General features: G+C 47.6%; 1 protein-coding gene across 1 annotated transcript, besides 1 other annotated feature; it reads right to left on the bottom strand.

Moving 5' to 3' along the window:
* Positions 1–2,923: 2,923 nt before the first annotated feature.
* IGFBP1 (insulin like growth factor binding protein 1) lies at positions 2,924–8,096 on the bottom strand. The gene is made up of 4 exons (NM_000596.4): positions 7,583–8,096; positions 5,867–6,036; positions 4,524–4,652; positions 2,924–3,624 (listed from the first exon to the last, which is right to left on the bottom strand). The coding sequence occupies exons 1-4, from the start codon at positions 7,929–7,931 to the stop codon at positions 3,493–3,495; spliced, it is 780 nt and encodes a 259-aa protein (NP_000587.1). The 5' UTR covers positions 7,932–8,096; the 3' UTR covers positions 2,924–3,492.
* Positions 10,250–10,467: a silencer, noted in NCBI's record as "fragment chr7:45925716-45925933 (GRCh37/hg19 assembly coordinates)". NCBI's record gives its function as "represses an EF-1alpha promoter that drives an FKBP-Casp9 reporter gene in an ReSE screen in K562 erythroleukemia cells {active_cell/tissue: K562}" and the evidence as "EXISTENCE:reporter gene assay evidence [ECO:0000049][PMID:32094911]".

Below are 11,171 nucleotides of genomic sequence, written 5' to 3'. Positions count from 1 at the left end.
GATATTCTCAAATACTTGTAAGAGGCAAGGATCTGGGTGACTATGTATATAGTATCGTCAAACATTTTTGTCTAACTAACAAGCATAATGACATTAGCTGGTTGTTTCTAATTAAGCTGGATAAAGTGGGGAAAGGAAAGGATGAGCTCAGGCATTCAAATTCCCAGCTCAAGCCTATATAAATGACCTGAAAGCTTAGATATCTACTCTGAAGAAGTCCCTTGTCTCCTGTAGCTCCAAGACTAGAATTGGTAAAAATGAAACCCTGTGAGTGACTGACTTACAACAAAAATTGAATTCCCAGCCTCCACTTTAACAGTGCTTTCTGTTAAAGTGAGGGCATTGATAGGGAAAGAATGGGATCCTGAAAGTTGGAATAGATATGTATGGGAAGACCCTGGTGAAGGTGGAGAATTGAGACACTAATTTCTGCTGAGTTTTCTTTTCCAGTAGAAGCAGGCTGTCCACCCCCATCTGAGGGGATTAACTTTTTATTGCCCGAGGATACTGTAATGGCCTCCCCTGAGGCAGTTGCCATGCAAGACAATATTGCTTCTCCTCAGGACTTACCCCTACCATTCTTCTTTGGTTCTAGACCAGGTCCCATAAGACCCCTAAAAGTGAGGTACAATATGTAACCCATGAGGAGGCGCACCACATTCCGAAAGAACTACTTGAGTTTTCTAATATATGTAGATAGAAATCCAGGGAACATGTGTGGGAATTGATATTAGAGGTATGGGGTAATAGTGAAAGGAACAAAAAGTTGGATCAGACTGAATTTATTGATATAGGCTTACTAAGCAGAGATTCTGTGTTTAAGGTTGCAATTCAAGAAGCTAGAAACAGCTCCAACAGTTTATTTAGTTAATTGGCTGAAACATAGACCAAAAGGTAGCATAGACCAAAAGATCTTGAACTGCAAGATCTGCATTGATTTACAGTAGAAATGAACTCAAAGGCTTAGGGACACTAGAATGTTAGAGGGAATTTGTCATTTAAGACTTTCTTACCCACCATGGGCAGGTCCAAAGGGCATTATCTTGCACCTTGACCATAAGGAATACATTTATGAGGGGAGCCTCAGCATACTAGAAGAGCTCTGGCATTGCTCTTCTCTGTAGGCCAGACCGTACAGTGGGAACTGCAGCTGCTGAACTGGGAAACATAAATGCAATGGAAATAATGAGAGTCCAAGGGTGGCAGGGACCAAGTGGAGGCACTCAACCAACAAAGGCAAGGTAGGTACAGCTACTCTAATGGACAGCAGAGCCAAGGCAGCACTCAGAATAGTCAGACTCCTGTGGATCTATGACGTTGGCTACTTGATCATGACATTCCTAGAAGTGAAACTGATAGGAAGCCTACTAAATTGTTATTGACTTGTATAAGCAGGAAAGTTCAAGGACAAGTGAACAAAAATCTAATTTGAATCACAAAAACAGAGTCTTGGCACCTCAATCAATTCTCAGACTTAAGCCAGTTTACAGACCCAGAACCCCTTGAATGAAGGAGGGGCTGGGCCCCCTTGAGAAAGGGCCCCAGTACACTGTTGAAAATATTTCTACCAGTGTTCTCCAAAGGGACCTAGAGGCTTTCACTGGGGCAATTGTGGATTGAGGGAAAGGAAGTAATCAGACCTTTCAGGAACTACAGGGCACTGGCTCTGAACTGTCATTGATCAGTTCAGAAGCCATATTGCAATCCCAGAGAGATGGCAGAAATTAGTGCCACCATCAAGGACTTGAAAGATGCAGGAGTGGTGATTCTCACCACATCCCCACTGAACTCTGCTATTTGGCCTGTGCAGAAGACAGTTGGATCTTAGACAATAACAGTGAATTATTATAAGCTTAATGGAGTGGTGACTCCAATTGCAGCTGCTGTGCCAGATGTGGTTTCATTGCTTGAGCAAATGAACACACCTCCTGGCCCTGGGCTGCAGCTATCAGTCTGTCCCTGTCCCACATCGGTCTGGCTGCTCCTCTTGATGAGTCTGAGTGCTGAGTTTACACACCAGCCCTAGGGTCATGGCAGAGAGGATGGCAGCCTGGCAGCTATGGGGTTGGAGGGTTAAAGGGGGGACCCAAGATAGGGAGCTAGAGTCTCCAGGAAAAACCAGAATGTCAGGGAGGCCACCAGCCCCACAGATGAGAGAAGCAGCCATGGATGCCAAGCCTCCAAGAGGTGGCCTGAGGCAAGGAGAAGTGTGGGCTTTCACCCCGACATAGAGCAGGGGGAGTCCAAGAGACAGGGCTGGAGGCAGCCAGCAGACCGAGATGGAATCCCCTGGGATGGGCAAGGTGCTAGGAAAGATGTGGAGGGGAGGAAAGAAGCAGTCAACAGGGTGAGCAAGAGTTAGGAGGGGCAGCGTTGGGCACACCAAGCAGGGCACAGTGTTAAGGAAGAAGAGCTCTGAGGAGCAGAGAAGAGAGATGCAATCAGGGCTCAGTCATGGAAACAGAAGTGACAAAAGGATGCTGGGAGCCCTGTGGAAGAAGGAGGCTAGCAGGAAGGGAGGGCAAGCAAGGGAAAGGCTAGGGAGCAAAACCAAGGAAGCACTTCTGTCTTGTGTTTAAGAGGAAAGAAACCCTGTTCCTATTTATAAGTTGAACGGAAGGGACAAACCAAACCAAGAGGAAGAGGCTGAGGACCCTGGGGAGGATGGGGACTAATGGAGAGGTGGGACACAGGAATGCCCAGCCTGGCCAGGCAGAGGAGGAAGGTCCCAATGCCACTGGGAAGTGGAAACCCTGGGGCAGCCGGGGCAAGATCTAGGGTAGTTAGGACAAGGGGCTCTGCAGACCCAAAACACCATCTTGGTATCACAAAAGCACAAAATGCATAAGGAAGGTGAGGGTGAAGGACAAAGGGATTTCAAAAAGATAATATCACTAAATAAACATCCACAGAGATAACAGTATTTCCATGCAGAATATTTATTGTAAATGTTTCCATTATAGACACGTGTTTAACAACATATCCAGTGTACATTTTAACAGGTGGCAACATCACCACAGGTAGCTTTGATTATGTAATCAACACTTTTAACTTTCCCTACACATGTACATCAAATGTGAATGGTGGAATATACAAGTTAACCGTCCTCCTTCAAACTAGCTGAAAAACTACTCTCTCTTATTTCATTTTGCATTTTCTAGGCAGTATTTTTCCATGCTCTTTAAAAACAGACGCAGGAGCTTTGGAAGAGCAGAAATGCAATTACTTACATACAATATGATGAGAAGTGTTTCATGATATACAAATTGACATAGGACAAGTTATTAACATAGTACAAGTTTTTACTGTGTAGAAAAAATAAACTTACAGTGAATAAATAAACAGCTTTCTATATCAAGTTATGTATGGAGTATAAAAAGTAGTTACTATATATATATACATATACATATATATATAAATGTGCATGTTCTAGAGTATAAATATACTATATACTTAAATATTTCACGTGACAGAACATTATTTCATCTGGTTTCAGTTTTGTACATTAAAATATATCTGGCAGTTGGGGTCTCCCCTGATCTCTGGAGACCCAGGGATCCTCTTCCCATTCCAAGGGTAGACGCACCAGCAGAGTCCCGCCTCTCCATCCATGGATGTCTCACACTGCAAAGACAAGACCAAGGTCAAGAGCAGCAGATGACAAGCTGACAGGGAAAGTAGAGCCATAGCTGGCCCTTTTTTCAGTGCAGCCGAGCACTGCAGAGCCAAGCCAAGAGTCCCGGCTGTGAAACCAGCTGCCCATGATGCAGGCAAATCTCACACCCTCCTGGTTCTCATCATAAAATAGAGACAGTGACCGAGTGGCATGTGCAATAATGACTTCCCATGTGTGTTAAACAGTACAGTGTGTGCACAGCTGTCTGCTTCATAGCCTGATGTCAGGGGAGCCCAACCCAGAGGGAACATGTCTCGTGTGTGCCCCACTGTTCATTGCCTGTGAAGCAGGGCCTAGTCCTCAGTTTCTCCCAATAAAATCTACAGAACCTGTACTTCACTGAGACCTAAAGCACTCCTCAATATGAAATCTTGGTCTGTTTGATCTCATTTATTATCTGGCAAGCCACAAAAATGTTGTTGTGTTTTATTAGACAGTTCAAGGAGAAAAAAGTGTTAAGAGCTGTCCAAATAGATACTTGCTTTTCTAAGTTAAGTTTGTTCCCTTCCTCTCTTGTATAGGTGAGGAACCCAAGATCCAAGCGTTAGGGGGCCTAGGAAAGTCTTCCATAGCTATTGGCTTGCTGAGTGATGGAGCTCAGGCTTAGCCCCAGGGCCCCTGGTCCAGCGCAGGTTTTCCACCTCTGGTGGTGACATATTGACCTGTTCAATAGGCTTTCTTCACCTAGCTGTTCCAGGTTCCCAGAGGGGTGGATCTGGCTCAATACAACCACTTCTGGTGTCTACTTTGGAGTGGACCTTCTTTGACATGAATGACCGTGGCTTGGCAGGAATGTAGGGCAGTAGTCCCTTTCACCCTGACGACGCACACTGGCAAGGCCACCTACCTGTCTGCTGTGATAAAATCCATTCTTGTTGCAGTTTGGCAGGTAAAATTTGGAAATTTCTTCTCCTGATGTCTCCTGTGCCTTGGCTAAACTCTCTACGACTCTGTAGAGTTCTATTCGGCAGGGCTCCTAAGAGAATAACTTGACATTAGCATATCTAACAAGACACAGTGAATTATCAGCCTAGACAATGACTGATGGAAGAGGTTTTGTAGAAGCAGGAGTGGCCCTACGATCTGGCCACGGGGACCTGGGACTAGGTGTCATGTGATGTGCTCCCTCTGGGCCTCTTTTTCCCACCTGCAGTTAGTCTGTCTTAAGTTGTTCAGATAAAGAACAAGAACACCATTCTCTCCCTCACCAATCACTCTCTCAACACCTGCACAGAGACATCCCCTGGCAAGAGCCTCACCAACACCACAAAACTCTTCCCAACTCTTCCTGCCACCTACTGAATACTTTTGGCACCCGCCATCTGGTTAGAAGAGTGGGCATAACTCTTAATTAAGAATTTAGCAGAAGACATTTCTAGATTTTGAATAACTTTCCTCTGCAATCTACAAGGTTCTTTTACATAAACTAAATCAAGTGAGGATTAAGGCATTCATTTGGATAATTTAAGAATTAACTTTCCTCCATTTATCGTTATTCTCAGATGAAATTCCAAAATGTTGAGAAAATGGTTTAATCCTCCCTTTTTCTGGGTAGGCATGTTTGTGGAAGTAATTTATTTTCTCAAATCAAATCACTCCGACTTTGATTCTCTGTCGCCCTCAAGTGGTAGAATTCAAAACAGACATAATTAAGATAATGGAGAGTTGATGTTTAATGAGTTCCGAGCTTCAGTTTGGGAAGATGAAAATTCTGAAGGTAGATATTGGTAGTGGTTGCAGAATAACATGCATTACTTATTGTTACTTAATGCCACAGAAACCTATGCTTCAAAATAGTTAAAACAGTACATTTTATGTCTATTTTATGACAACTTTTTTAAAGGGAGGCAAATCATACAATGGGGGTGAAAGCAGTTAGGCCCTTGTACTAAGTTTTGGAACAATGTAACTCAATGTTCTCACACCCTTTAGAGAGGAGCTCAGAGACATGAAGTAACCTATCGTCCGGAACTACATTTTCTTTGCATCCAGTGGGCTCCTCTCCTGAAAGTCCATGTGTTCACAGTTTGACAAAGTTTAACTGAGAAATGGCCACTAGGTTTTGGGGGAAAAGCATTTCTTTCCAGGGCATCAGGACCAGGAAGGAGTGGGCCAGGTCTGCTTGTCACAGCCGACTCAAGCTACATCCTCTGACAGGAGAGTTCCCACCACCCACCTGCTGGGCCTCACCTTCCATTTTTTGATGTTGGTGACATGGAGAGCCTTCGAGCCATCATAGGTACTGATGGCGTCCCAAAGGATGGAATGATCCTCTTCAGAAGGGGCCATCAGATGGAAATTATCCAGGAGCTCCTCCTCAGTTATCTCCGTGCTCTCTGGGCTTTCAGGGCTCCCTGCCTCTGGAAAGGAAACATTGCAGACCCCATGAGCCCTCCCAAAGCATCTGCCCCTTTCGGGCCCCCAGGAGATCACTTCCTTCCCTCAAAACCAGGCTGGGCCATGAGGATGGCCACATTCCCTAACCTGATTTTCACTGACTCTCACTGTAAAGGACCTTGTAATGGTTTCCAGGAAGAGTTATGTCCCAACAGCATGCCAGCTCTGTTCCTGACAATAGTAAGTTTCAGGGCCTGGCAAGGGTGCCCCACGTTTCTGCTTTTAAAGCAGCAGGGGAGCAGAGCAACAAATGCATTTGCTGAGGTTGAGAACAACCCTAAAGAAGCCAGGATTAGAGTTCAGTTCCTAACCGCATTAGTAGGGAGCCTCGAAACCTCAGCTTCTCCATCCTTAAAATGGGGATTTTACTAATATCCCTGAATGGATGGTACAGTTCATCTAGAAGTGGAGTCTAGAATGCAGCTCTCCTGACCCAAACTACTACCCTCTTCTATTTTGGGGCCCCTGCCTTCCCACGTCCTAATGGACTTCTCTGCAACACCCCCTCCACCCCCATGGCAAGAGGATCTTGCAGATAGAGTCCAAAGGTACATGAACAGAATCAGCACACTGGCCTATAAGGGACCCCCTGTGGAAATCCATCTCCTTGAGGATCAGTGAGACGACTCCCTTTCATTTCCTCTGAAGGGCAGAGAATCCGCAGGAAATCCCTGTTCCCTCCTTGGAAGGGTCACTGACTCTCACACACTCACTCTAACACCCTATCAGGGTATGGAAGTCCTAATTCCTCCAAGAATGGCACAGGACAGGACGTGCAAGCAGTCCAGATGAGGAGATAGGGGCTGGAGTAGAGAAAGAGGCATTTCCTCCACTTCCCGCTACAAACAAATGCCTGCTTAAATCCAGGAAAGAACCTGATTGTCATGTTCTTAGGGGGCAACATACACATCAAACATTGTTTTTCTATGGCAATGAATGGAAGTGAAGCTTTTAGCCTCAACTCTCACATTATGTTCTGTAAACATCTGGGAAGCACATACTGTATCCAGGACGTATATTACAAAGGACATTCCAAACACCTCCTGGGGAGGCCAGCAGGAGGGATTCCCTTCTTAGGCCTTCCCGGATGCTCCAGCCACTGGGGCTGCCCACGTGCTGGCAAGGAGACTGGTGGGGGACCCAGGGTGGCATCCCAACTGCGGAGGCAGCCCCACCGCCTCCCTCTACTCTTGCTGTCTGGGTCTCTAAAGATCTCTGGGCTACGAGGGCCAAGTGGGAGCTTCCTCCTTGAGTCTCCACTAAGCTATGTGTGCCCTGGAACATCTTCCTTCTTCTCCCAGAGCACGTCCTGCCAAGACCGTGCAATGAGCGGGCTCCACTGGGTGACCCAAGCTCCTTCCCCAACTACGTGCTCTGGTTTCAAGCTCTAGTTGTGGACAAGCCCCTGCCCGGCTGCAGCCCCACCCAGTAGTTAGGGGAGTGGGGGCGGGAGGTGCCGGGCGGGGGCGGGCGGCAGGAGGTGCTGGAGCAGGGGCGGGACTGTGGTACCTGCAGCATGGGGAGCGGAGGCGTCAGACTCCTGCACGCAGGCGCCTTGGCCGCGGGTGAGGGCGTGCAGAGGTTGCTGCTCCCCCGGCAGCGCGCGGCAACTGAGTCCCCGGGCGCAGCGTGCAGTCGCCACGCCGCACGCGGCGCCCAGAGGCAGGGCGCACATCGGGCAACAGCCGCAGCCGGCGGACCGGGTGACCTCCGAGCACGAGGCGGACACCGGCGGGCAGAGCGCGAGCTTCTCGGCGGAGCAGGGCGCGCACTGCCACGGAGCGCCGGCTGTCACGCCGACCTGGACAGTCAGCAGGAGCAGTACCAGCCAGACGCGAGCAACGGGGACCTCTGACATCTCCAGGCGCGAGCAGCAGACAGGGGCCGATGCTCTCTGGGCTGGTGGCGGCGGGCGGTGGCCCAAACTCTGGGCAAGTGATGGTGGAGCGGTGGCCAGTGCTCTCTGGGAGGGTGGCGGCGGCGCGGCGGCAGATGCTCGCTGGATGGGATGGCGGTGGCCGATGCTCGCTGGACACAGCGCGCACCTTATAAAGGGCACAGGCCGCGCCACTTGCACCAGGAGGTTAATGATTGGCAGCGCCGCACGCTAGGAGCTGAGTGTTCAAAATAAGTTTGTTTTGCTAGTGCACCCAAGGCCCTACGCAAACCGCTGGTGGGAGGAGGGTAAACGGTTTTGATTTCATACTGTTTGTCCCGTTGTTAGGGGGTTCAGGCCCTCAGTTAAAGTCCAGTTCTAACAAGTGCTCAGCTGGGAGGGGGATGACGTTTGTTTTTGTCAAAAAGACAGCCCAGGTCCAGCTGGCCAGGCTCTTTAATTGACACAGAAAAAAGCCCTAGAGATCTCCTGCAAAGCGTCTCCTGCAAAAATTTAAAAATCCTGGGTAACACCAGCCCACCCAGCAGTTCTCAAACGCAGAAAACAATGCCCCAGGTGAGGAAAGGCGAGATGGGGTTAGAATCCAGGTCTCTGCGAGCCCTAGCAGGTTATCTGTGGAAAAGCCCGGAATTGCTTCTCTTTCTGCAGGAAAAAGGCTCCAACCTGCAACAAAACAAAACAAAAACACAGTTCATCCTAGGGCTCTGCCAAGCTCCCCAATCTCACTCTACCTCCAAGAGCCTTTCTCCTCTCTGGAGGGGCAGTTAAGAAGGTCTAACAAGGTCTTGTTAGCAGTGGAGCCAGAATCCCAGGGCACCCATGACTTTCCCGCATAGGCCAGATATTTATCAGTAGCAAATGCAAAGGTTTTCTCTTTAGTTAAAATTCTCATTTCTCGGATATTCTCTTTCACAGGAAAGAAGTCGAAAGAAAAAAATCCTTCAAAGAAAGTCAGAATCAGGCTTATCTCCAGGAGTTGCAGGCTCTCCCCATCACTCCCTCCATGGCCTTCCAGTGGAGAGCTGTGATCAGGGAGCGTGCCATGCTCCAGGCCTGCCCCTTGGTCTCTCCTGTGACCCCCAAACCCCACATTTTCCCACCCACCTGCCACCATCTTTGCCTCCCATTCTAGGCACAGGCTCAGGGCTACCCTACCTCCAGGCCTGGGCCTCCTGTTGTCCCTTCAGATCCTTTAGGAGTGGTGTTGCCAAACTGGGAAACTGGAGATGGCTTGTCCAGCCCCTTGCTTTATAGAGGAGAACACTGAGGCCAGAGAAGGAAGGCTATTGCCAGGTCAAAGTCACAGAGGCTATAACGGTGGATCCTGAACAAGAATTCACATTTCTGATGCCCATACAGTCCTGTTTACTGTAAGCAAGCCCTAAGTAAATGCCTTTCTCTGTAATCTGGCTAAAACACTCTAAAACAGTAGAGCATTGCTGAATCACCTCAAGTGACAGTCATTCTTACATTCAAGGAAATGATCCCTGCTGCTCCCTTCAGGGAAGGTGTAAGGGCAGGTGAAAATAATAACTACCCTGAAATTCTGAAGCTGGAGGTAGAATGGTCTGTGCTAACAATGCCACCCTCAGCTGTTTATCCTACAGATGATGAGACAGACGTGAGAGATCATTTTAAACTTATGTGAAAAAATACGCGAACCAATCCCTATCTGGAAGCCATACTGCAAGTAACCTAAATGCCCATCTCTAGGTGCTGGATACATAAATCCTGGGGCATCCTTCCACTGGAAGATAGACAGCTATCAACAAGAAAGAGCAACTCTGATTTTCTTATAGAGAAAAATCTCTAAAAGTAAAGTGATTCAACTGAAGTAAAATCTCCTAGCTAAGTACAAATGAGAAAGTACAGAGTGTGGTACTGTTTGTGTACAATAAAAGCAAGATGAATGTATGCAACTGATTCTACATTTATTGAATGTTTTGGGAGGAATACATAAATTGATAGCAATGCCTTCTTGTGGGTGGTGGTGAAAAATGTGACTGAGGGACAGACCGGTTTTCCTTGCATACCCTTTCTTAACCTTCTGAATTTGTAGATGTATTTACACTGTCTGTTACATTATCAATCTAAAGAATAACCAAGGGGCCAGGCTCAGTGGCTCATGCCTGTAATCCCAACACTTTGGGAGGCCAAGGTGGGCGGATCACCAGAGATCAGGAATTCGAGACCAGACTGACCAACATGGCAAAACCCCATCTCTACTAAAAATACAAAAATTATCCAGGCATGGTGTCAGTCACCTGCAATCCCAGCTACTCAGGAGGCTGAGGCAGGAGAATCGCTTGAACCCAGGAGGCAGAGGTTGCAGTGAGCCAAGATCATGCCATTGCACTCCAGCCTGGGAGACAAGAGCGAGACTCTGACTCAAAAAATAAAAATAAAAAAATAACCAAGTTGAAATTAACTGACGACCTCCTTTTCTCACCACTTTCCTGTTTCTGTGGCCTTCGGGAAGTGACTTGGATTTGCCAAGCTGGCTTTTGTTCTACCTCTAAAGTCTCCAAAGAGTAATGGCCCCAGCGTCTCCTGCAAAAATCAAAATAAGGCAGTGAGGTCACTGCAGTTGGAAGTTTATGATTGTTTGTCATTATTTCTTTACAGAGCAGAGTTTGGTGTTTGGTAAAGGAACTGACCAACGGTTTTGAATTTTTTGACATTATTTTTAGGGTAGATGCCTAAGCAATTTGATTTCCAGAAGAAGAATGTGTGCTCTGTATTTTCTCTCTGACTTCCTCAGCTTGCAATCAGTGCCCACAGCTGAAATGTTTTCTTAATGAAACACATGAAAGAGGCAATTCTTTGGTAAATATCTAGAGGCCACCTGCTGTGTGCCAGGCAGTGTACTCCGCCCTGGATAGTTGTGCACTTGCTCAGCATTCGTCCCACCCATCCTCCCTGAGGTCTCACTTGTCCTGCATGTAGTGAAAATTCCTCCCCTCAAGGATCGATTTCCCAAATGTTTTCCTTGCTTGCTTCATAGCAACAGCAAACCAAACAGCCCCCAAATCAAGAGAGAGCTCTCCTCCTACTCCTGACCCTCTGTCAACACAGATGGAGCCAAGCCCCTCCCTACAGGCCTGTGTAGGCCGACTGTCCATCCGTCCATCCTGTGTGGGAGTGAGCGGCCCTGCCCTGGCAGGTTGGAGTTACAGCCGATGATGTGACTGCTCACACAGC

Source organism: Homo sapiens, chromosome 7, assembly GCF_000001405.40.
Source record: "Homo sapiens chromosome 7, GRCh38.p14 Primary Assembly".
NCBI classification, from domain to species: Eukaryota; Metazoa; Chordata; class Mammalia; order Primates; family Hominidae; genus Homo; species Homo sapiens.
Note: the sequence above shows the minus strand (reverse complement) of the source record. Positions and strands in the feature narration are given on the sequence as shown.